Source organism: Homo sapiens, chromosome 5, assembly GCF_000001405.40.
Source record: "Homo sapiens chromosome 5, GRCh38.p14 Primary Assembly".
Classification (NCBI taxonomy): Eukaryota; Metazoa; Chordata; class Mammalia; order Primates; family Hominidae; genus Homo; species Homo sapiens.
The window spans coordinates 64,939,399-64,966,058 of NC_000005.10; the positions used below are offsets into that span (position 1 = coordinate 64,939,399).

Consider the following 26,660-nt stretch of genomic DNA (forward strand, 5'->3'; position numbering starts at 1 on the left):
TTGGAGGTCCACTCCAGATCCTGTTTGCCTAGTTATTACCAGTGGAGGCTGCAGAACAGCAAAGATTGCTGCCTGTTCCTTCTTCTGGAAGCTTCATCCCAGAGGGGAACCCGCCAGATGCCAGCTGGAGCTCTCCTGTATGAGGTTTCTGATGACCCCTGCTGGGAGGTGCCTTCAAGTCAGGAGGCACAGGTGTTAGGGACCCACTTGAGGAGGCAGTCTGTCCCTTAGCAGAGCTCGAGTGCTGTGCTGGGAGATCGCTGCTCTCTTTAGAGCCAGCAGGCAGAAACATTTAAGTCTGCTGAAGCAGCACCCACAGCCGCTTTTTCCCTCAGGTGCTCTGTCCCAGGGAGATGGGAGTTTTATCTATAATCCCCTGAATGGGACCGCTGCCTTTCTTTCAGAGATGCCTTGCCCAGAGAGGAGGAATCTGGAGAGGCAGTCTGGCTACAGCGGCTTTGCCAAGCTGCACTGGGCTCCGCCCAGTACTAACTTCTGGTCGGCTTTGTTTACACTGTGAGGGGAAAACCGCCTACTCAAGCCTCAGTAATGGTACACGTCCCTTCCCCCACCAAGCTGGGGTGTCCCAGGTCAACTTCAGACTACTGTGCTGGCAGCGAGAATTTCAAGCCGGTAAATCGTAGCTTGCTGGGCTCTGTGGGGGTGGGATCCACTGAGCTAGACCACTTATCTCCCTGACTTCAGCCCCTTTTCCAGGCATGTGAACAGTTCTGTCTCACTGGCATTCCAGGTGCCACTGGGGTATGAAAAAAAACCTCCTGCAGCTCTGTGTCTGCCCAAACAGCTACCCAGTCTTGTGCTTGAAACCCAGGGCCCTGGTGGTGTAGGCTCCAGAGGGAATCCCCTGGTCTTTGGGTTGCGAAGACTGTGGGAAAAGCTTAGTATCTGGGCTGGAGGGCACCGTTCCTCACGGCACAGTCCCTCAGGGCTTCCCTTGGCTGGGGGAGGGAGTTCTCTGACTCCTTGCACTTCCCGGTGAGGCAGCGCCCCACCCTGTTTCGGCTCACCCTCCGTGGGCTGCACCCACTGTCTAACCAGTCCCAATGAGATGAACCAGTTACCTCAGTTGGAAATGCAGAAATCACCCGCCTTCTGCATTGATCTTGCTGGGAGCTGCAGACCAGAGCTGTTCCTATTCAGCCATCTTGCCAGCTACCACCTGCACCTTAGTTTTAGTATTCACCAGTGATTTTCTACTTCCATCATTTCTTTTATATTTATAGTTTTGCATTCCACTCTAAAAAAGGGCTTTCCTTTGTTCTCCATTTATTTATTATGTCAATATAAACTCTTGGAATCTTATTTTATGAGTCACAGTCTGCTTTTACCATTATTTCTTTTGATGCTCAAAATAAATTATTTTATTTCATTTTTACTTGGCCAGTGGGAGCTCCTTGAAGCTGGCTTTTTCTTTCTTTCTTTCTTTTTTTTTTTTTTTTTTTTTTTTGAGACAGTCTTACTTTGTCGCCCCGGCTGGAGTGGAATGGCACGATCTTGGCTCACTGCACCCTCTGCCTCCTGAGTTCAAGCGATTCTCCTGCCTCAGCCTCCCAAGTAGCTGGGACTACAGGCATGTGCCACCATGCCTGGCTAATTTTTGTATTTTTGTAGAGATGGGGTTTCACCATGTTGGCCAGGCTGGTCTTGAACTCTTGACCTCAAGTGATCTGGCCCATGTTATTTTGATATGTTCCTATTATTTGAGCACTTCCTTGTTTTCTGATTTAACAAGCTGTTCTAGGTTTATATTATAGTTTATTTCCCAAGCCCAGAAATCACCCTTTTTCCTAAGGAGCTCTGGTTTCTTTAAGAGGAAAATCATATTTAGAAAATCAAGATCTGGGTGCTAGATTGCTCAATCCTATTGCTTCTAGGCTCTCTCAGTAAACAGCTAAAAGATATACTGGTAGTCTAAGTACAGTACCATACTGCAGGGCACATTTTAGTCTTTGCCCCTTTCCATATTTAACTTTGTTCTCCAATAGTGAGAATACTTGCTTCTTTGCTACTTTTTTTATTCAGGCAAATATATTATTTAAAAATTTATCTACATATTTATTACAGAAACATATTTATTACAGAAATATAAAACATTTATTACAGAAAATATAAAACATTTATTACAGAAAAAATTTATCATAAAACAAAAAGAAGAAAATAAAATCACCTTTATTCTCACCTAACAATAGCCACCACAGAATATACTTCCATTCCTTTTTATTTTCTGAACATATGTGTATAGAAGTATAGAAATCATATTTTTTACACTTTCATTTTTTAAATGAGATTGGACGTTAAATTGCTAAATGTAAAATCTTACACTTGTGAGGTGTTTTTGCCCCTCTGCCACACTATCAGGAGTATGATTTCAGAGAATCCTGCTATATCAGATAGATATGGGCTTCATTACTTGCTCCAATTTGGAGGCTGAGAAATCTTGGGCAGGTCATTTCTGAGCCTCAGTTTCCTTATCTGTAAGATGAGAGTAATAATAAATAAATAAATTTATTATATTAAATAATGTACAAAAATCACCAATTATAGACTTCTTGGCATGACAGGCAGTCAGCAAATTATAACTATTTTGCAGATTATCAAAGCAGTTATTTACATGAGTAGATAAATAATTTGTTAATAAATGTTACATGTTGAATATATTATATGAGATTAAAGCATTTTTGAGTGCAGGAAGTGCTTTATTTTATACTAATAAAGAAAAATATTGCCTGGGTGCAATGGTTCATGCCTATAATCCCAATATTTTAGGAGGCTGAGACAGGAGTATGCTTGAGGTCAGGAGTTCGAGACCAGCCCAGGCAACATAGTAAGACCCCCGTCTCTACAAAAATAAAAATAACAAAATAGCCGGGCATGGTGGTATGCACCTGTAGTTGTAGCTACTCAGGAGGCTGAGGTGAGAGCATCACTTGAACCCAGGAGTTCAAGGCTACAGGGAATTATGATTATAATCATGCCACTGCACTCAAGCGTGGGTGACAGAGCAAGACCCTATCTCTTTAAAAAAAAAAAAAAAAAAAAAAGATAAAAGAAAAACATTGCAATAGATCTCTTTAAAATAAATGGCCAATATGAAAACACACATATATATGTATAATATATTTAAGGCAAACCTGGATGTACCCCCTCTGCATATAAATCCATAAATTAGGAATCACAGTTTTATACGCACCAAAAGATTGATGAATACATGTGTTATTTTCTGTCAGAATGTGCTTGGTCAGCCTGTTTTTAGCTTTTTTGCTTGTAACGAGTAAGGAAAACATTGGCTTTCCACAGTCAACCAAATATTTGTTCTGCTGCTACTTACTCGTTACTGTAGACTAAATAATTTTTCTTGCCTTGAGCAGCATAAATATGGCTTTACTCCGGACTTTAGACACTTCAGCTTTAATTTTATGCCTGTGCATATAATGCCACATGTGTGCCTGTATAATAAAATTGTAAATACTTTATCTTCTGTTGTGTGGTGAAGAGGCTCATTGTACTCAGGTATACAAAAATGATTCCAGAAGAAAAAGATAATGATATCTGCTAAAATGAATGGGGAGAGGGGAGAATGCTGGCATGGAACATAGAAATATAACTCTCCTAAAGAAAAAAGCAGACATTGAAAGTCTTAAATGTTTAAAACAGGGCATCAGGTATGCTTTTCAATAAAAACTGGTGATAGCAGTGGTAAAATGTTTCATCAGTATGATTATACTCCTAGGTGAAAAAAAAGATGGAGACAAGGGAAAAAATGAAGTTAACGAATAAAACAAATGTTATTTCAGATCACGGCCCTGTGTGTGTTACTAAGGAAAGATATAAGGATTTATAACATATATTTGTTTTCCATTTATTTTTATGAAGGAATTAAAGAAATTATCAGAAAATACTAAAAGGGAACAAAGCATTTTAAAAACATTCCAACAATGGCATGCTGCTTTTTATACAGTATGCAGTGAAGTTCCTTGCATTTCAAAGGCAAGGGTAGCTAAATCTGCCTCAGCCCCTTAGCGTTCTGTACTACCCTTATCTTGCCATTTACAACATGAAAGTATAATAATCTATTTACATGCTGGTATATACCACTATGAGTTTCTGACAAACATGGCACATCTTGGTGGTAGTTCATTTATTCTACAAATACTTATTCAATGTCTACTATGTGCCAGGCACACTTTTGGACATTTTGGATACATCAGGTAAGAATATAAATACCTCTGCCCCATGAACCTTACATTCTACCTATATTGCAAAGTTCCTAGCACATCGTAGATTTCTTCTCATGGTCATAAGATGTCTGCACCAATTCTAAGCATCACATCTTCATAGAAAAGCATCCAAAACAGGAAGGAAAAATTAGAAGCAAAAGGGCTTTCTCCTTTTGGGCCTTTCTTTTCATAGGAAAGAAAATCTTTCCCAGAACCCTCAAACATGTGATCTGGACCAAACACTGGCTGGCAAAGAGTGGAATTTCTTAAGTCTGAGCAACAAGAAGAAAACCGTTACCATAACTACCAACTCACCTGCATCTGTGCCATGTGCTTGCCTGCCCACCTATAACTAAGGATGAGCTGTTTGTAGTCTTAGGTCAACTCCTCCACTTGTGCCTTGGATCCTGCCGCACGCCCCCATCACCTACTTGCGGACATTACTCCAACAGTTCTTTTCTTTCTGTCCTGTATTATCAAATTTCTGTTCTTACTGGATTTTCATGCTCTTTCATCATTATGAAAGCATGCAGTAATTTCTTCATTAAAAAAAAAAAGTATATCTTGTCTCCACATCCCCCTCTAACTACTGTCCTTTAGCTCTGCTTCCTTTTCTAGAAAAAAACTCCTTAAAGAAATATACATGCTTGTCATCTCCAATTCCCCTTTTCCTGTTTACTCTTAAATTTACTCCAGTTAGACTTCCGTTCACACACAACTGCTTAGCCCTCTTAAGTGACCTATTACCAGATTTTACACTGTTGGTCACTCCCTCCTCCTTGAATTATTGTTTACTTGGCCTCTAGTTTTTTCTCTCTTATACTAAATTTATTTGAAAACATCTTTAAATCTCATGGATTTACATATCATCTATTGCTAATAATTTCCAAAGTGTTTAACATGCATCTGAAACTTAACATGTCCCAGATTAAGCTATTGATCTTATATTTCAAACCTGCTCCTCCTGAAATCATCCCTGTCTCAGTTAATTTTGGAATCGTTTTTTGTTCCCCTTTCTTTTCTACCCCATCAAATTGATCAGCAAATCCAGGATCTGTAGGCCAACAATTTCCACTGGTAGTACCTGGTCAGCCACAATCATCTCCCGTGTAGATTAGTGCAGTCGTTTCATAATTGATCTCTTTGTTTCTACAAGTGACCTCTGAAAGTCTATTCTCAACATAGTATCCAGGATGGTCCCTTAAAAATATGGCAGATCTTGTCACTCTTTTTTTTAAACCCACCAATGGATTTCTTAAAAGTTAAAGCCTCTATGTTTGTCTAGTAGACTCTATAAAATCTGTACTCTCTCCCCTTCTGTTTACCTCTCTGATCTCATCTCCTTATACTTCTCTCTCATTCATGCTGTTCTAGGCACAGTAGCCCCTTTGCTTATCTGAGTACACATTTGGCATGTTCCCTGCCTCAGGGCCATTGCTCATGCTGTTACCTTTTCTGGACTGTGGTTCCTCCAGATGTTCACATGGCTCATTCCCTTACCTCTCAGGTATTTTCCCAAATGTCACCTTCTCAATGAGACTTTCTTTGACCACTTCTACCTGACACTCCCAAATTGTTCTTCTCCACTTTGTTCCTTGTGTTACTACCTTGTAATATACTATATGTCTTATTAATTTGTTGTTTGTTTTCTGCCTTCCCCAGTAAAATTTTTGTCCGTTTTCTTTATTGTTGCTTTCCTAACACCTATAACAGTGTTTGACATTCTCCAAAATAAAATTGGAGGCTGAATAAGTGAACCAATGAAAGATGAACTCTAAAAGGCTTAAAACATTTATAATACATCCTTTGATACTGAGCATTAAGTTGCCTAAACCACTTCTCCTTTTGTTAACAAAAAAGAAGATAGAAGAATTATTACTTGGGCAGTCTACTGTGTCTAAGTTCATACTTGTGAAAAACTTATTTTTTCCCCTGCCTTTTCCTCTCATTTCTCTCTGACAAGAGCCCATGAGAAAGGTAGGATAACAGGTATTTTGCACAAAGAAGTTGTGACTCAGAGAAGTAATTGATGTTTCCCCAAGAGCACTAACAGAGCTGATAGGACCTAGATTGCCTGACAGCAACTGTAGTCCTCTTTCCATAATGGTAACAGTCAATATGAAGTATGATATTTTGTAGAATACTGTATAATCCTTCATGTGAGCTTAGAGACGAAACCTACCTTCAGAAAAGTGATTATGAATTGACGTTAGTGGGGTTTTTTAACCTGTCATTTGAATGAAAAAGAAACTTGCTGCATATTTAAGATTCTGGGTTTTTTCTATATCTTGAATCAACCAACTTTCATAATAATTGATAAGTTTGTTATTGATATCTTATTTACTGCCAGTATATTCTTTTAATAGAGCAGAATAGAGAATATGTTGCTTTGCTATCAGATTTCTCCACATTTTGCCCACATCATTCCCATCTTTTCCCAACCAGAAGTTATCTCCTCCAGCAACTGTTTAAGCCAAAAGCAGTCAAATTACTCAAAATGCTAATTAGATTTGTAATTTTTAATCAATTGAGTAAAGTGAGGAGGCATGATTGTTAGCATTTTGTTAGGTGATAGAAAAAGATATTTGTAAACTCTTTTACCTAGAAGGAATTCTTTAAAGTAGCCAGGTGAGCTAAGATGCTAGTATATTAGCTATGTACATATACAGAGACATATACCACAAATGTGTACACATTATGTAATGCATATAGCAAATAATATATCTAGCACTAAAACTATATTGAATGCAATTTATTCTCTTTGACATTTCAAAATGCATTTCTAGATTTTGTGGCACCTTTGGTAGATACCAGGGACATCACTTATCATTGCATTGTGGATAAAATAGATGTGCATATTCACAAAACTTGGAGAATAGTGTGATGGGCATTCAGATTCACTGTTCAGTGACAAAAAGACTGGCTACCTTCATGTTCTAAATGGAACTAGAAGATGGAGCAGATGAAGGCAGATGAGTTATTCATCTGGGCCTTAAGAATGAATACATCTATGTTGAGATGTTTATTAATGAAACTACTGTTTCCATTTACCCGTATTAGCTTTTCCAGTTATAGAAAATTACCTGTCAAGTTTTACTTCTTTCCTGTAATTAGACAATTTCTTTTCCATGTGCTTTTTATATTGGCATCCTAGGTTAAAGGTGATTTTTGATTGGCAAGGTAAGTAGTCAATCCTTGCAGCTGATGAGGACTTAACATTTTTGTCATTACTGTTCTTCTAATGGTTAATCTGCCTGATGAAAAAGAGCCAAACAGCATCTTAACACCAACCAGAGCTCAGCTCAGCCTAGTACATAGGTCTATGTGACCAGTTATTATTTCCTTTAGACTTGCATTTCTCATCTGTCTCTGAGCACCTTCTTGTATCTATTGGCCATTTATTTGGCTTTCTTTGATCCTTTGTTTTTTGAAAACTAAAACATTTCTTGTATCAGCAACCTGCTATAGTCTATTCCAACCATATTTCCATGTATCGTCTTACTGCTGCTTCCTAAAAAGGAAACATTCCCTCCAGCCAGCAACTGTTCCACCTTGTTTCTCATCAGTAGGGTTGGCACCAGTTCAAGTTCTGTCAACACTGTTCCATCAGATAAAGCTGTTACTAACATAAAAGATGAGGGGGCTGGTATGCATACACACTATTCAAGCACCAATGAGCAGGCTAATAGCATTCTTATTGCTCCTGTGTTAGCCTGCCTGCAGTCTAGTCTAACTTGGCTGTACCTTAGTGCTGGTGGTGATACTTGCCCATGCATATATCAGCATCTGTCTGATAATAGTTGAGTCCTTTGGATGAGAGTGTATGTTTTCTGGTTTTCATTGACAAAATGGTTAATAATTAAGCTTCTGTATAAGATCTTTATGTAAACATCATTTTAATAAGCTAAAAGTCTAATCAGAATATAAGCAGTATGTCCACAATCTGTTATTATCTGTACCATTTCACTAGTTATTAACAGAATTGGATAAGCTTCACTTTTACAAAATGTTATATGGCATGCTTAATTTCAGCTCATTCAGCATAATGGTGATCTTCTAGAAAGAGAGAAAAGAAGTATCAGACAGAAATATTTCCTATGGGCCTCCCCTCTTTGTAGAAAGAAATCTGGCATTACATGTTTTTGGGGAGCAGGGAATATAAGAAAGGACTTTAGGGAGAGCCTTATATATCATTTTGTTCCAAAGGATAGATGTTCATTTTGGGCATTATCAGTCAACCACACTGAATCACCTTCTGTGTTATGTGATCAGTTTAGTTGTGTCAAATCAGAAAAGATTTAATCAAAAGCTCCAATCTTTTAATTCCCTGCATTTATTATGGTCCTTGTCAGTTCTGCTAAGTGCTCAGGTATGCACAGAGAATTTCCAGACACTTATATCATCTTGATTACTTGCTTCATCTTTATCCTGCTGCCCTGGACCATTTGTGAGCCATTAAAAATCTTTTATCCTGTTTAAGGCTTAAGCTAGAGGCAGGTCTAGTCTCTAGGTTAGAGTTTAGAACAGGGTTTTTCAAATTGTAGGTAGTAATTCACTGGTGGGTTATGAAATCAATAGTGTATCTCAGTCAGCACTTTTTATTTAATGGGATGGCATCGACTAGAAAAAATCAGAGTATATCACATGTAATAATGGTTTTAAATATTGTTTTATGATATTTCAAATTTTTTTGTATTTGGTTAACAATATGAAATTGCCATTTTTGTAGGTAAAAGCCAATATAATATCATCAATTTTTTATGGCTCAACCTTATATATACAGTTTTATCTAGTAGATGTACTAACCGTATATATATGTAGAGCTTAGATGAAAAAAATTTTTTCTACATATTTCCAGTCAACAGTTCAAAAGCCATTGGGTTACAATAAATGTCTAATATATTGCACCATGCTAGACCAAGAAGAAATCCATTAGACACTTACCTCTAGATCTAAAAGAGCTAGTTTCTACTTGGTAGAACAGGACTCATTCATGAGAAACAAATATTTTGTAATTAATAGTCAAACAGTGTTAATAATTAATAATCATAATTTAGCAGTATTCATAGTTAACAGGCAGCATTTGTGTTTCAAATGCTAAAATTGAGTGTGCAGATGAACTGTAAGATTCAGAGACATTCAGAGTAGTGAGAACTAGTATCATCAAGAGACTCTTCCTCATTGAGGGAGGTAAAATGTAGAAATGAGTGTGACTAGAGGGGAGAGGATAGAATATTCATGCTTCATCTCTGTAACATGAGTTTAATAATAGTCTACAGAACCTTGATTCCATAGTAGAAGCAGAAATCATGAATAGTAGATAATTTTGATGAAATAGGATCAGAAAATAGTTTAACTTTGAAAACCACTGACTTAAATGTAGATGTGTCTAAGGGCATACTGTTTGGGAAGACTTTTTAAATCTCACTTAAGAGCTTAAGGTACTTTATGGAAGAGCTTTAACTTTATTTAGACTTTTTAGATATGATTTTTTTTTTAGGAACCTTGGGAAATGGAGAAATTATTACCTCAGGGAAATTGTTATTTTACTTTGCAAATAAAAATATCTAGAGGTATTTTTAGAGACAAACAACATTTATCATGTGTTAATGGGAGCTTAGTGTTTGTGTATTTTTCAAAGTGAAATGAATTAGATTTAGATAGCAAAATACTGAAATATCCTCAAAACAAATCTGTTCTTTGTATATTTCTCTTGCAAACTCCATCCCTCTCCCTACAAGTTTCTAGTCTGAGCTTTAATGTCCTACCATGACCATTTTAGTCACAGTTTTTTTGTTGGGCTATTTTAACAACCTGCTAACATGCTGCCAACAATCTCTGTTGCTAATCTCAAATCCTGCCAATACATTCTGTGTGTGGCTTTTCTGAAACACAAACACGATCATGTGTCAATCCCCTTCATAAAGTTCTTTAATGGCATCTCATTTCCTGTAGCGTAAAGTCCTTTGCGTGGTATGCAAGGCCCTATATGGGCTATAATTTGCCTGCCACACTAAGCTCATCTTTCACTATGGATCCCATGTTCCATGAAGACTAGATTTTTCTACATACAAATTTATTTCACACCTTGGCTTTTACTGTCATGGCTCCCTTTTCCTGGAATGCCTTTTCTATCTAATGAATATTACCTCAATATTCAAGTAGTTGTTTAAGATCATTTCTCTAAGATTCCTGTCCTGATACTCTTTCATCATTGGACCAGTGTTTCTCAAACTTTTCTGCACATTAGAATCACCTAAAAATTCCAAAGCCCAGGGGCTGAAACCCAGGCATCGGTACTTTTTGAAGCTCCCCAGGTAATTCTTAGCTGAATTGAAATGTGACCAGTTTAAACTGAGTTGTGCTATAAATGAATACCAGATCTTGAAGACAATACCAAAAAATATAAACTAGTTTAGTAATAACTTTATATTGATTACATAGTGAAATAATATCTTTATATGTTGAATTAAATTTTAAACTTATAATTAATTTCATTTGTTTTCTTTTAGGTTTTTAATGTAACTACTAGAAATTTAAAATTCTACTTATGCCTTACATTATATTTGTGTTGGATATTGCTGGTCCAGAACAAATCACAATGATACTAAACTATTATATAAATTGTAACTAATAGTAATATATGGTATCTGTCTAATGTACACATATAAGTGTTTTTTTTCCAATCCTTTTCTGCCTCATTGAAAAACTAAACTTAACATAAATTTTATTATACTAGAATTTTATCATGAAGTATTAATTCATTAAGTTGTTAATTCAGGAAACATTTGATGCTTGTTATACGTAAAATACTCTACAAGGAAGGCAAGGAAAATAAAAACCAAAATAACTATGTAAAATTGAAAAGTTACCAAATACGGATTTCAGAGGAATAAGAGATTAAAACCAATACCATTATAACCATTTGAATTATTTTGCTATTTTACATTATGGAGAATAAGGCAAGGTGTGGTATCTTTTAAAATCAGCTTTATTGAGGTATACTTTACATACAATAAAGTTCACCAATTTTAAGTAGGCAATTCAATGAGATTTGACAAAAGTGTACAGTTATATAACCACCAGCACAATCAGGACATAGGACATTTCTATTGTCCCTCAAAAGTTCCCATAAATCCCTTTGCAGTTAATCCCCTCTAGTCATAGACCCAGCCCTGGCAACCATTAATCTGCTTTCTCACACTATAGTTTTCCTATTTTCAGAATTTCATGTGAATGGTGTCATACAATGTGTGTCTGGCTTCTTTTACTTAGCATAATGCTCTTGAAATTCATCTATTGTATCAGGTTTTTTTCCTTATTTGTTGATGAGTTGTATTCCACTGTATGTGTATACCATAATATGTTTATCCATCCATCAGTTGATGAATACTTATGTTACTTTTGTTTTTTTAAGTATTATGAATAAAGCTGTTATAGCACTAATTTATTTTGGATAAATACCTAACAGTGTGATTTCTGGGTCATATGGTAGTTCATAAGAAACTGCCAACCTGTCTTCCAAAGTGGCTATATCACTTTGCACTCCCTCTGGCAATGTAGAAGAGTTCTAGTTGCATCAAATCCTTGTCAATTAATGGTATTATCGGTGTTTAATTTCAGCCATTCTAAGGAATGTATAATGGTATTTCAATGTGGTTTTAATATGCATTTCCCTAATGATCAATGATGTTGAACATCTTTTCATGTGCTTAAATCAGGTTGTCTTTTGTTATTTTAATCATATTATTTTAATTGGATTGTTTGTTGTCTTATTTCCTTGAAAGAGGAATATATTCTAGATTATATATTCTAGCTACAAGTCCTTTATCAGATAAATGTTTTGAAAACAGTTTTCAAAGTTCATGTGCCATTCATGTGCCTATTGAAAGTATACAGTTCAATGGTTTTTAGTTTATTCATAGATATCTGCACAGTCTGTTTTATTGGAGAACATTTTCATGATCTCAAAAAGAAACCCTTACCCTTTAGCTATCACCTGTTACAGCCTCAGCCCCCACTTCCCCTGTGCAACCACTAATCTACTTTCTTCATATATAGATTTCTCTGTTCTGGACATTGCATATAAATGGATCATATAATATGTAATCTTTTGCAACTGACATCTTTTCACTTAGCACAATGTTTCCAAGGTCCATCCATGTTGTAGAATGTATCAAATACTTTGTTCCTTTTTATGCCCAAATGACATTCCATTTTATGTCTATATCACATCTTATTAATTTTTCAGTTGATGCACTTCCAAATATGTGTTTATAAAATGTATTTATGACTCATATGTAGGTACTACTGAATGAATATGTTGTGTACTATATATAACATATACCAAAAAAAAGAATACAGTTGTCCCTCAGTATCCATGGAGGATTGGTTCCAGGACCTCCTGCAGACACAAAATCCTAAGATGCTCCAGTCCTTGATATAAAATGGCAGAGTATTTGCATATAACCCAAGTGCATCCTTCCATATACTTTAAATCAACTCTAGATTACTTTATAATACCTAATGTAATGTAAATGATATGTAAATAGTTGTTATACTGTATTATTTAGGAAATAATGACAAGAAAAAAGTCTGCACATGTTTAATACAGAAACATTTTTTTCCAAATAATTTTGATCTACAGTTGGTTGAATCTATGGATACAGAGTCCATGGATACAGAGGGCCAACTGTAGTTTAAAAGATACAGTAAAATATAAATAGCATTCTGACATTTTCTTTTCACTTCTTAGTGGGCCATTTTGTGCACTAGAAACCCTTTACATATACAAATTTTTGAGGTTACTGGTTCAGACAAGTAAGTTAGGTGAATGAAGGTGTTCTAGATAGTATACAACATGAACAAAAGCACAGATTTAAGAGAAAGCATGGGGCCTTTTCTTATCTTGCAAATTGTGTGTCTAGAACCTGGAGAGGGGTATGGAATCTTTCATCCCGTCATTTTTATCCTCTCCCTCACTATAGTAATTTAAGGTTTATTGACAACATCTATATACTCTTGGAATGCCTGAGAAATAATATTAAATAAAAAATTTTTATACTATTTAAGCCTATGGTTTTGTTAATACTATTTGGCAGTGGATACTAGACACTCTATTACTACACTTTCCCTTTAGAAGCAAGCTTACAGTTTGTGCTCCTTTCAGATAGTCTCAACCAAGAATTAGCAGTATTAATTTTATTTTTGTCCACTCTTCTAGCTTATTTCTGAACATCTTAGTTGCATTATTATTTGAGACTTCAGGAGACTGACTTTAGTCTGCTATAGAAAACAACATCAAAAATACGTTTTTTGTACTTTCCATTCTACAAAACCCATGGAGAAGTCCCTTGTACTTTATTCCATGCTTTGCCAAGTTGCCATGTGAGGCATTTATAGAAGAATAATTATGTTTATTCTCACCCATTTGGTTATGGTTGAATAGAAGAGTGTTGCAACATTTACTATATTATTGCTGAAGATTTTGCCAGTCTGTGGTATGTATCTTGTGAAAATGCTTGGCAGACTATTAAGAAAGAATCCAGTAACCTTAAGTTTCTCAGAAATATTTCTCAATGTTGGCTTGCTTGTTTTTCTCTTATTCACACTGTTATTATTCTGGCCAATTTAACAGTATATTACACTAATTCACTACATACCTTGAAGGCCATAGTAGTTAACAGTGTGTTTTCTATATCAGAAAGTAGAGACAAAGCATTTGAGACAGACTCAAACCTTCACCCGAGTGAGTGACAGAGCTTGGAATAGAATGTGAAGCTACTAACTCAGAATACTGAACCCAGTTCACTCAATATGTTGGCTTTGTTTAGTGACTAAGCCAAAGAAAAAATTTAATCAGTGAGAACGTGTCTGTAATTATGTTCTAATCCAAAATAAGAGGGTGAGAAATTTTTCACCTCACCGAGAAGAAAGTGTAAGATTGCTTTAGTGACTAATTCACTTTATGGAACTTAATCAGACAAACCCAAATAATCCTTCTACAATAAAGGATTAATTAATGCCATTTCAAAACAAAGGCACTTTTTAAGTGTTTATTTTTTTTCTTTCCCCCAGCAAATGTGTTTTTGTAATACAGAGTTCAGGGACTTTTATTTAACAAGTTGCCTTGATGAGCATTATATTTCTGTTGTTTCTTGATCATTCCTTTGGCTTTCTAGATCTCATTAGAAATGCTCACAGACATTAAGCCTAACATGGCACTTGATGATCACAGTTTTTCAAGGCTTGGGACAAGGAAAGCCAGTTACTCAGCCAACTCTGCTTTGTCCTTGCCATCTTCCCACTCACTCTTTCAGTTATTTTCTCAAGGAATACATTTTCCACTAAAAAATTCCTTTCCTTTTTTTTTAAAACAAAAGTTAATCTTTCATTTAAATGATATTTATCAAATGTGAGATAGTGTAGGCACTATTCTAGGCTCTGGACATAAAATAGTAAATAAGACAGAAAAGTCTCTGCCTTCGAGGAATTCACATTCCTGTGTCTAACTTCGGTGCCCTTCTCAGTCAGAGTTCACAGACATCTAGTGATCACATCATTTTCTACAGTTTTCAGCTTTTACCAAAAGCATAGGTCTCCAAGTGTAATATCCTGGTCTTTCCAGTGACAACTACTTCCCTGATTTATTGTTCCTTTGTTTGTTTTTTGAGACAGGGTCTTGCTCTGTCACCCAGGCTAGAGTGCAGTAGCACAATCATGGCTCACTGCAGCCTGGTACTCCTGGGCTCAGGCGATCCTCCCGACTCATCCTCCCAAGTAGCTAGGACTACAGGTATATGCCACTATGCCAGGCTAAAATTTTTTTAAAGACATGGGATCTCGCTATGTTGCCCAGCCTGGACTCGGAACTCCTGGGCTCAAAGGAGCCTCCCACCTTAGCCTCCCCAAATTCTGGGATTACAGGAATGAGCCACCGTGCACAGCCCCCTATTATATTTAAGTGAATTATTGCCTAAAGCACTTAGCAGGCTGCCTGGCATATAGAAAGCACTATATATATATATATAGTGCTTCTACCTATAACATATATATATATGCATATAGAAAGCACTAAATATATAGCCACAAGCCACAAACCACAAGCCACAAGCACTATATATATAGTGCTTTCTATATGCATATATATATATATATGTATGTATGTTAGTTATAGGTAGAAGATAGGAGTAGCAAAGCATTTTCCATCATTAGGCCAACAAATACTGTTTATTCTTTAATCAAATTCAGAATTATAGGTAAGCCCCATGATAAGCAGTGCTACATTTGAACATCCAAATTTATAGAAAATATAAACTAAGTTTTGATAATTCACAAAATAATTTTCTATGTTTCTCTCAATTATGAGTTTTATTGGTACTTTGGAAATAGGATTTAATATAGAGAAATATTTCTTATTCAAACAATCTATGTTAATAAAATGAAAAATATGATATCTACTCCCTGCTTCTTCAAATGATACTTAATCAGCTGAAGGCAGTCATAACTATAAAGTACCTTACAGACATAAAATATAGTGCCTTGTATTCACTGCCAAATAATAATAATACCTCATTTATATAACATCAACACTTTACAAAGTCATGTCACATGCTTCATTACATTTAGTTCTGTAACAGTCCTGAGAAGTAGATTAAACAAATATTATAGTTTCTACTTTGCAAATGAAGAAACCAAAGTATTAAAGATATTTAGTACTCACCCTAACTTAAATGGTAGATTTGAGATTTTATCCAATATTTTTTCCACTGTAAAACTGCAAAGTGCTGTTTCCTCAAAAAATAAAACAAGCCACAAGCAATATGACCTGTTAGCTGTATGCCAGAATCAGCAGTCTGATTGCTAGCCTACAATTCACAGCATTACCACTAAAATTGAGCAGGGCGACCCCCATTCAACTCACCATCCGACCTCAGGTTCCAGAAAGCCCATTTGGACACAAGTAGACTTCAAATGGAGCATAGTTGGATGAGCTTTTCCCCTACCTTCACTCCATCTCAAAACTTAATTTGTCAGAGATGTCATTAATCTGACATTAATCTGGTCTGGTTGGTCTAGGCAGGTAAAAAATAAAAATGAAAAAAAAAGTCAAGAGTGAAACACAGTCAGAAACAACTGGATATGGTGCTTTCAAATAGTTGTACATATTTTCATATTTCAATTAAAATATTCTCATAGATACAGAAAAATAATTTTACCAGGATATTTTCCAAAGTTCCTTATTAAAATTATTAGGAAAAAAAATCCCAAGATCTTGGGGAGTCAGTCCCTCTCTCTCCCTGTCTCACCTTTGCACTTGCAGTCACTAAACTACTAAGGAATGCTTTGTTCACTGATAAGAGGTGTGTGGGCATCAGGAAACTTGAAATTTTACTGCCATTTTATCAACTAACTAAAGCTAGTACTATGATAGAAAATAACCCTTAAAAAATTCTTAGACACGAGTCCAAACAACATAACAATCTAGAATGGTTCAACACATTTAACTTTATAAAAGGCTCACAAATAATCAATAATTAGGTATAGGAATATTAGAAATAAAAATTTTTATAAGAGGCTCACAAACACCTATGAATTATTTTTGGCAGTATAGGACCAACAAGATATAAAATGTGGCTGCTCATTGCTTACCAAAATAAAGTTCAAATTTCTTTATTTGGCATTCAGAGACTTTCATGATCAGAGTTTTGTCTTATTTTCTTTATTCCCCATCTTATTTATACATTCTTCATTTTCAAAGAATAATTTTTCTCTGCCTCCTGTGCATCCTGCCCTGTATTTCCTTTGGTTGTTATGTCTTGGTTATTATTTCTCGTTTACCTGCTATTGCCAAATCTTATTTCTCCTTTAATGCCCACTTATGCTGCCACTTCCTCTACCCAGCTTTCCCTCTCCCTTCTCTGCATGAATTTCCTAAATATCAGAACCTCTCATGTTATTTGTACCACTACACAGTAATAGTGTATGTCTTACCCTTTGTCCAGTATATAAGCTCCTAACCTGGAAAACTGTCATTGGTTTCCCTCACTCCTACGCATAATAGTACCACCTACCACCATAACTGTTTGCACTAAATAGAGTAGAAAAAGGATGAGCTTTGAAGTCTGACAGCCTTGGATTCAAATCCTTGCTTCATCATTTATTAGCCATATAAACTGGGGTAAGAGATAACCTATCTAAACCTCTGTTTCCTCATGCATGAAATAGGGATAATAATACCCCTTCTGTTGTTACAGAATTAAGTAATAAAGCATGCACAGTATCTTAACATTGTGTCTTAGACATGCTAGATCCTAAAAAAATGGTGATGGTGCTGGCAGAAGTGGTCATACTTATATTTTAGAAGCTACTTTATTGCTTCAGTTTCCTCAATCACATAGGAAATCTAAAGAATACTCTGCAATACCACACATGCAAGTATTTTAAGGACTGTTTTGAACAGATTTGTAAATTCTTATAACTACTTGGAGAAAATTACCTTATGTTACAAAACAATAGAACCCTCCTTTAAGTACTGTTAGAAACACAGATATTCTGCAATGCTTAATTCGCCTTGGGCAATTTTAGGTAGTACTTCTTGAGTCTCCTTTCTCATTGGCTTCATAAATTCTTTTTATCTTGAAGAATTTTTTTTTTCTTACTGCTACAACACGGGGTACATAATTTGTAGTTTCCACATCCAGAATGGCAGGGCAACATGGAAATGTTTTCAAAATGGCCATCGAGCTACAAGAATTGCGGATCACACCATCTGCAGAAGCACAAAGTGTGCTCTCTTGAGGTACCTGGGGGGCAACATCAATCAACCTGTGTGCTAGTCCAGAGGTTTGCGTGAGGGAGAATGAGCAAATTTAAACAGGAACAACAAACTACAGCTGATAGGTAGAAAGCTGGAGCCCCCAAAAGAAAAGCACATATGCCCCTCAACAATTCTCAATAATCATTTATATATTGCAGTTGTGTCTTGTGATCATTACTAAGAATACAGAAACATCTGTAAAAAGCTGCTTATCAAGTAGTCTATCTGACAGGCTCCCTGATAAGTTTATGTAGTAGACCCACTGTTTAATAAAAAACGTTATTAGGGAGACTCTGGGCACACTGCCCATGGGTTAACCCTGCTCCTCAAGGAGCAGTATAAGAAAAATTATTAGTAAAAATAAGACAATTAAGACCAGTTTTAATGTTTTGTGTTCAGAACCTGTCTTTACTGATCTAAGTTCTCTCTATCCCTTAACATGTTAGGTAAGATTACTTAAATTTATTTGAATTGATTTTTAGTATAATACTTTGTGGTATCCTAAATTATATGCTGTCATGACTATAATTTATTACCAACATAACTGCTATTTGAATTATAAACTCAACAAAGCCCTTTACTCCTGAAAAGACAAGATAAAATTTTGTATTTTGATAGGAGTAGGGCTTTAAAACAGGTTTTTTTTTTAATTTCCGACATCTTAAGGGAAAATAGCAAAAGTAAAAATTTTAAAAATTCCTAATTTAGAGAGTTAAAACTATATTAAGGATACATTCCATTTTATAAATGTCACACTATGCTGTAAATGTATATAACCCCAATGTGATTACTAGTTTGTTATGAAGCATATGTGCAGTGAGAACGTGCTACAAAGAGAAAGTGTATATGGTAGTGTGTGTAGAAACGAGACACTGGCTTCTCGTAAAACCTGTTTTCTCATACTCCCAGTTTAGCACAATCATTGAACTTCTCCAAACCTCAGTTTTTTTATCTGTAAAATGAGCAGGTTGCTGATACCTAAGAACTTCACAGTACTCAAATTTTATGTTGTGATTCTAGACATATTCCTTTTATGCAGAATTTAAAAATCAAGATTAAGCATTCAGTAGCATGTAAATATATAAAACTCCTAGATATGAACTCATATATTCACAAGCTACCCTTCTCTAATGGAAAATACAGTCGAAAATCAGTGAGTATTTTCAAGTTTATATTTTAAAACAGAATCCAATCTGAAAAACTGCATAAATTTTAACTGTATTATTTATTCCATGAGACAATTTGTAACCTGCACATTTCTCAAATTCTCTAATGGAAAAACACAGAGGAAAACGTTCTGTATTATTTTATTTTGAGAATTATTTTAAGCCCCTCATAACATGAAGCAATGAAGCTAGGATAAACTATAGAAGAAAAAAATAACACTTCCATGTAAATTAGACTGAATTACACATAATCAGTGTTCAGTGTTGAGGCATACTTTAATGTTCAAGTATATTTCAGATAACCCCTAAATTATTTAACCACTTTTAACTAATTTTCATGAACCTTTAGGAGGCTTATTGACCACCAGATGGAGCCAGTATTGTTCAATTTGTAGCATAAAAATATGCTGAAAATGAAAACTGGTGAAACAGAATGAATAAATGGTAGTTTTTTTATTGTAGTCCATAGTATAGAAAAAATAAACTTTAGCATCCTTCTGTCTAGTTTCTGTAAAATACACATGTATAGAGACCCCCCCATTAAATTATTTTTTATTATGAATAGGTTTTTATTTTGGCAGCTCCATTGGACAAGTTTTCTTCTTATTCACTATTTGAATATATCACCTTAACAACTTTCAAGTATCTTTAAAACAAAGTTAGTAAGGCTTTAGTCTCTGGTCACTAAATAAATATTATGGGTTGTAATAATGAAAAAATGATAGTATAGAATATATTGCCTATAGGCTCTCATTTTATTGTCACAGAATATTCCCATTATAATTTCCACGATGGATTTTCTTAATAAAGCAAAAGAAAAGGCATTCTGACTGGGAGAGGGAGAATATGTAGTTTATCACCAGTAGCTCCTCAGGAGAGATGGTAAAACCACAATGAATGGCTGCAACTCTTACCCAGAAAGCTTAGTGCCCAGTGGCCCTAATCAGGGGTAACTGCCTTAAAGCTGACTTCATGAACTCCTCTCACCTTTATTTAACAAGTGTCAGGAATTATCTAATCCCTTATACCTCAACTTAATTAGGCAACCATCTATTGAAAAAGTATTTGTATGCTAAGGGCCCTAAGGCCCTACAAGTCCCTCCAGGAACTTTTCCATTCAGTAAAAGCAGTAAGGTGACTGTAGACACTGTTGTAATTCAGGACCTAAAAATGATCTATCTGTTTATTTGTCCATTCAGCTACTATTTATTTAGCACATACTATATGCAAGGCATATGCTAGGCCACAGTTCTTGCCATGTGAGTTTACAGCCTGGAGGGCAATATAAACAAAGAAGCAGTTATGATACGGTGTGCTTGGGAGCCACGAAGTGTTTTGAAGGTTCAAATGAGGGGAAAATTTGATTAATTAAGGAGAATCGAGAAAAAGCCATAAGGGATTCTTCCTAGGTAGAACTTAACTGAGTAAACCCACTGTTTGGTCTTTTTTTTCCCCTCATTATCCATTAAACCATATATTATGGTCTGGGGGAGTTTAGGGCCTTTTTTTGAAGGATTTTATTTCATCGGGATATACCCAGTTGGTTACCTGATGCATTTTTGTGTCAGATTGGAATTGTTTTCCTAGGGATTTTTTTTTTTTTCTCAAACATGAAGAAGAAACAACCAAACTGGTTAAGCGCTTGTACTTTAGAGCCAGACTACATAGGTTTATATCCCCAGGCTTATAATCCATGTGATAAATTATTTAACCTTTTCCTGCTTTCGTTTTCTCATTGGCAAAATGAAGTTCATAACATATTTTCCTGACAGAATTGTTAGTTAGAAGATTAAACAAGTAACTCAGTTACCAGTGTCTGGCATATAGTAAGTAATTGAAATGTTAAATGTTAGCCATCGTGTTAGCTATTTTCAAGTCTGATACTTTTCCTTGAATTAATTTAAGATCTGGTATATTAAAAAAAAATACAAATTGACTTTGTATTTTCCAGAAAGTATGAGGTACAACTAGACATTAGTAGCATTAACATTTTTTATATCCATCAAGTCTATTTTGTTAATCAAATGATGTTTACTGTTATTACCACATCACCTTTATTTAGTTAGCAAAAATTTTCTTGAAATAGTAAATCCAGAGACATTTAAAATCATTTATAAGCAGGCTTATTAACAGTTGCTGTCACAGAATAGCCACTCAGTACACTTCTTTTTTTTTAAGAGATTGTCTCGCTATGTTGTTCAGGCTGGCTTTGAACTCCTAGGCCCAAGTGATCCTCCCACCTCAGCCTCCTGAGTAGCTGTGACTACACGCCTGCACCACTACACCCAGCTCAATACACTGTTTTTTTTTTTTAAATGAATGAATTTGCAGCTACTTAGAGCTGATAGCTCCTTGACTCTGGTCCTGAGACAACAGAGGGTATAAGTATAAGCTCTTTTAATCTATACAGTGAAAGCTGTGGATAGATAACATTGGTTCATTAGGTAGGTAGCCAATGAAGAGACTCAAGTGGATTGAAGATTAAGTTTCTGACTAGCTCCTAGGGAAAGGATAAGGGACATACTTTATAACATGCAGGAACAAATGTGCAGTACTTAACTTGCAGTCTTACAAACTAAGAGTTGGAATACAAGTTTTAGCCCAGGCTCTGCTGATAACTCACATGAGACACTAGCTAAGTAATGTCACTTACCTGGTCCTTAGTTGCTTCATCTATCAACAGGAAGTTAGATTAGAAGATCCTCAAGCTACTTCCTAGCTCTTGTGCTCTAGTAAACTGATGGTTATAGTGATGTTGGACATTTCCTTCCCAAGCCCTTTCATATATATATATATATCTCCTATTTTTATCTCATACATAACTAATATATTTTTTTAATTTTATTTTAACGCCATAGCATAGGTAATCTTTAAGTCCCCAAGATGCTTGTATTATATCCGTGAATCCACATTTTGATACTTACATTGTAAGTGATATTTTTCATGTATGTTAAGTTCATTTTACCCTTTAATTTCTGGAATGAAAAGCCTGTATCATATGTTTTACATTTCTTTCAAAGCATCTCTTAGCATAAGAGGCACACAGAAGACACTGTGTAATTATGAATTGAAGTTTTAATTGAAGACAGTAGGACACAGTGTGGACCTTTGTATCATACATACCTCAGCTCATATCCAAGCTTTACTATATTCTAATTTTGGTCATATCCTGTTTCCTCACTTGTAAAATAGGTTTATTGATACTTTCCTCATAGATAATCAAAACACCCTAGCATAGTGCTTGACATATAATAAGTTCTTAGTAGATATTCTTTTTTAATTCCATCCTTCATTACTATCTGTTTAGCATGTATTTCATAGAAATTTCAGGTAATGATGAATAGTCATTATAATGCATCATTATTGTTTATGAATCATCCAGTGTACATTGAGATTTATAAGAAAAGTAAAAGTAGAGCACTCTGTATTAGAAAAACAGAATTATTTTAAATGTCTTGTGTATTTTATTAGCCAGTTTTACTTCACTAAAATCATCTAGTCACTTATTGAATTTTTGTTTATTCAGGAGGATTCAAGCACATGAGAAATAGATGTGCTACTTCCTGTTCTGGCAACATGGACTGAGCTAACACAAAACTTTCTTCTCCTACAAATCTATAGAAATGCTGGATAAAATATGATCCAGCCCAATTTAAATACTTAGCTAGGCTTGAGGAAGAGAGAAAAGAAGGTAAGAAAGAAAGAAAAGGAAAATCATAAGTACCAGAAACAAAAGGAAGGCATAACCAGACATTGAGTAAGCCAACACTACAGTGGCCCAAGTGGATTTTGGACCCAAATGGAGGCTCTAATATCTAGAAGATAGGGTTTTAATCTCACATTTGGATGGAAGATATGGCCTTGGGTTAGAGAGGTAGGAACTAAAAATCTGTCTACCTGGTCAGGAATGCCACAAAGAAGCTTGCCATTTTTCAGAACTCTATGTGGCAGAAAAAATGAAAGACTCTTATGAAAAAGCCAAAACTCTAAACCTCTACCAGGCATAAATATAAAGTCTGAATGTATGCTATTTATATGGTATAGGATTCCTAAGTCAAGAAAATAATGGGAAAAAATGGCTCTGGACCAATGGAACCCCTTGATTGTCTGGTAGAAACCAATGCAAAACCTCTCTATAGGAATACTTGAACAATCTTGGTGCCTAGGATTCCTATGGAGTGTGATGGAGATGCAGTCCTAGCTGAAAATAAACTCACAATAAAAGATTAGAAAACACATAAATAAATGACCACCCTAGAGAGAGGGTCAGAAGACAGAACAGAACAATCCCCAAGAACAATCTGAGTGATAGAACATAATAACTTTGTTTTAAATAAAGAGTTTCTATTTTGTGAGACAGAGTCTCTCTCTGTTGCCCAGGCTGGAGTGCAGGCACAGTCTTGGCTCACTACAGCCTCCACCTCCTGAGTTCAAGCAATTCTCCTGCCTCAGCCTCCTGAGTAGCTGGGATTACAGGCGCCCGCCACCACCACACCCAGCTAATTTTTTTTTGTATTTTTAGTAGAGATAAGGTTTTGCCATGTTGCCCAGGCTGGTTTCAAACTCCTGAGCTCAGACAATCAGCCCGCCTCCGCCTCCCAAAGTGCTCAGATTACAGGCATGAGCCACCATGCCTGGCCAGTAAAGAGATTTTTTTAAAGAAATAAAAATCATAATAAAAAATTAAGGCAATAAAAAAGAGTAGGTGATTTGTAAAAGAGCCATATGGAATATTTAGAAATAGAAAATATAGTTATTAAATTCAATGACCCAGTTTATGGCTTAAATATTGATTAGATACAACTGAACAGAGAATTAGTGAACTGAAATACAGAGCTAAGGAAATTACTCAGAGTATGCTGATGATTAAATTATGAAACATGAACGTACTATGACCATTCATAGTTGATCATACTGTAAATAGAAGTACTTTATACTAATATGATACACCAAGTTAGGAAATAGAAGACCAGTTTTTTCAAATAGTTGGGTTTTTGTGGCAAATGTCATTGCATTTGGCTGTGTGTACCCTGTAAAGTGTTTGAGTTACAGTTTCCATGCAGTCCAGGTGGAATCTTAACAGGCTTAATCATGGTATCACAGATGAATATAATGAAACATCAGCAGACGTCACAGCTATTCTCAAACTGTCTGCCTATTTGTTTGGGCTAGAAATGAAAACATGAGGAGGGGAAAGATATCCTTAAGTCAGGTAATTAAAAATCTCCAAAGACCAAGAACTGGAGCAGCCAGTGGGTATAACAGGAGGTGGTATGACTGCCTTGTCTTTTCTGAACTTGATTATTTAGATTTATGACTTTCTGGAAAAAAAATTGACAACACTATGAATTTGACTGGGTTTCTATATTTACCTGACATGTTTTCCATTTTGATAAATGACTGTAATATGTCTACATTATAAACCTATTAGTGGCCAGCTTTTCTGACCTCAAACAGTTGGCTGGATTGGATCAGTCTTTCTGAGCTCAATTTTATTATTGTAATTTGTGATGCAAAGGTGATTTACTTTTTTAAGTTCTTAATTGTCATTGGTAGATGGACAGAAAAAATTACCAAATCAATCTTTTCCACCTGGAATTTATGTGAACACCTTCAGCCATATCTTGGCATTTTATCTTATGGATGGAATTGATGGAATTCATTAGCAAAATGATATGTCTGAGAGGAAATCCCATTTACCCTGAGGCAGTTTTGAGTATTTATTTAGACAGGGAAATTGCTTTTGGGAAATTCTAAGTATTCTATTACTTGAGATTTTTAAGTTAATTTTATGGAATTTAACTTTAGAAAATCTTAAAATTTTAGAATGAAATGTCATTTCCATGAGATACAGTCTGTCCCTTTTATTTCATTGAAAGAAAATAATTTAGTAGTACATGGAATTTTAATTTGAAGTTTTATCAGATCAACTAATTCTACATGCAGGCATACAGACACAAAGAAGCATTAAGTTGCCCTTCATCAGCACTTTAGGGAACATCTGCTTTAATTTTATAGCTGTTTGTGAGAAAATTATCACAAGGTAAAATTAGCCCAAGCTAAAATACTACATGTTTCAGTGGTAAGATCGTGTACCACTGAATTAGGCAGATTAATAGACAACCCTTAAAATAATATTTGTTGCCCAACTATCTACCCTGACCTAATATCAAATTTGTGTAATTCAATTGTTTCTCAACTCTTGTTAGTCCACCTATAGTTGGTAGTCAGTGGAATTTTTTCTTAGCTCTGTTGAGTATATCTTTAAAAAAAATCAAATTGGTATTAAATGATTAACAACCACAATCAAATTAAAAGCTTCAAAATACATCCAAGTAGTAAAACTCAAAGATAGTTGCAGATAAAAAACAACTCCTGAATCACTTGAACCCGGGAAGTGGAGGTTGCAGTGAGCCAAGATCGCGCCATTGCACTCCAGCCTGGGCAACAAAAGCAAAACTCTGTCTCAAAAAATAAATAAATAAAAAACATAACTTCTCAACAACTTTAGAAGCTGTCGCTCTCTTTAGAGCATTCTTTATTTAAAGCAGTATGGGAGCATTTACAGCTGTATAATGATAGGGAACACCCTGTGATTTACCCATTCTGCCCTGAAGCACCAAGTTTTTGAGTTCTTAACTTCTATTACAAAATCCAACACAGTTGGCTGTGTTGAAGTCAAAAAGGTCTCACCCATAATCAGAGGACAAAAAGTCAAGTTTTTATACACTTTCCCCCTTTGGAAACCAAAAGCTGCAGTAAGGATAAGATTACAGTCCAAGACTTTGTCAGATGACAGTTGAGTTAGCAATTGAGGCATAGACAACATTCTAGAGTTTGGTTTCATTCTCAGTCCATCTGCTGAAAATTGTTTAACTGGAGCTTCATTAAGAATGGAATATAATAAACAGGGGTAGATGGAAATAGTATTGAAATATGTTTGAAGCCTTGTGAAACAAGAGTTACCTTACTTATTTGATCTGGGATCATTTAAATCATAATGAAAAGCCATAAAATTTTACCCAACTATTTCCTTAGCATTTTTCAAAGCAAAACTGGTTTTGCAATCGATTTTTTACTTCAGTTAGAGAATATTAAGTCTTTTCTTTGTCATTTTAAATGTAGATCCTATCACCAAACAGATATTTTCAAACAGATCCTACAATTTACGGGTGAATTTTATTCATTCTTTAGATGCTTGCCATCACTACCACTAATTGCCTTATACAAAACATTTATGAAGCTGGTTATGACTATACATTAAGAAGAATGACTAATGCTACAATATTAAGATATTATCAGGGCAAATACATTCAGGAGGATTTGAACTACGTGCCTGTGTTTTCATTATCATGGCTAGAAAATATAAAAAGAGTGTTTGGTTTCATAAATACTAATGAAATAAATTGATACATACATTAAAGTTGTCTTAATTAG

General features: G+C 35.3%; 1 protein-coding gene across 2 annotated transcripts in view, besides 2 other annotated features; it reads left to right on the top strand.

The window, feature by feature from the left end:
- CWC27 (CWC27 spliceosome associated cyclophilin) overlaps positions 1–26,660 on the top strand; it is a 249,846-nt gene that overhangs the window by 170,481 nt on the left and 52,705 nt on the right. The window lies entirely within an intron of this gene.
- Positions 398–941: an enhancer, noted in NCBI's record as "H3K27ac-H3K4me1 hESC enhancer chr5:64235623-64236166 (GRCh37/hg19 assembly coordinates)". NCBI's record gives its function as "activates a minimal SCP1, AML or CMV promoter by ChIP-STARR-seq in naive and primed H9 embryonic stem cells {active_cell/tissue: H9 hESC(naive and primed)}" and the evidence as "EXISTENCE:reporter gene assay evidence [ECO:0000049][PMID:30033119]".
- Positions 942–1,484: an enhancer, noted in NCBI's record as "H3K27ac-H3K4me1 hESC enhancer chr5:64236167-64236709 (GRCh37/hg19 assembly coordinates)". NCBI's record gives its function as "activates a minimal SCP1, AML or CMV promoter by ChIP-STARR-seq in naive H9 embryonic stem cells {active_cell/tissue: H9 hESC(naive)}" and the evidence as "EXISTENCE:reporter gene assay evidence [ECO:0000049][PMID:30033119]".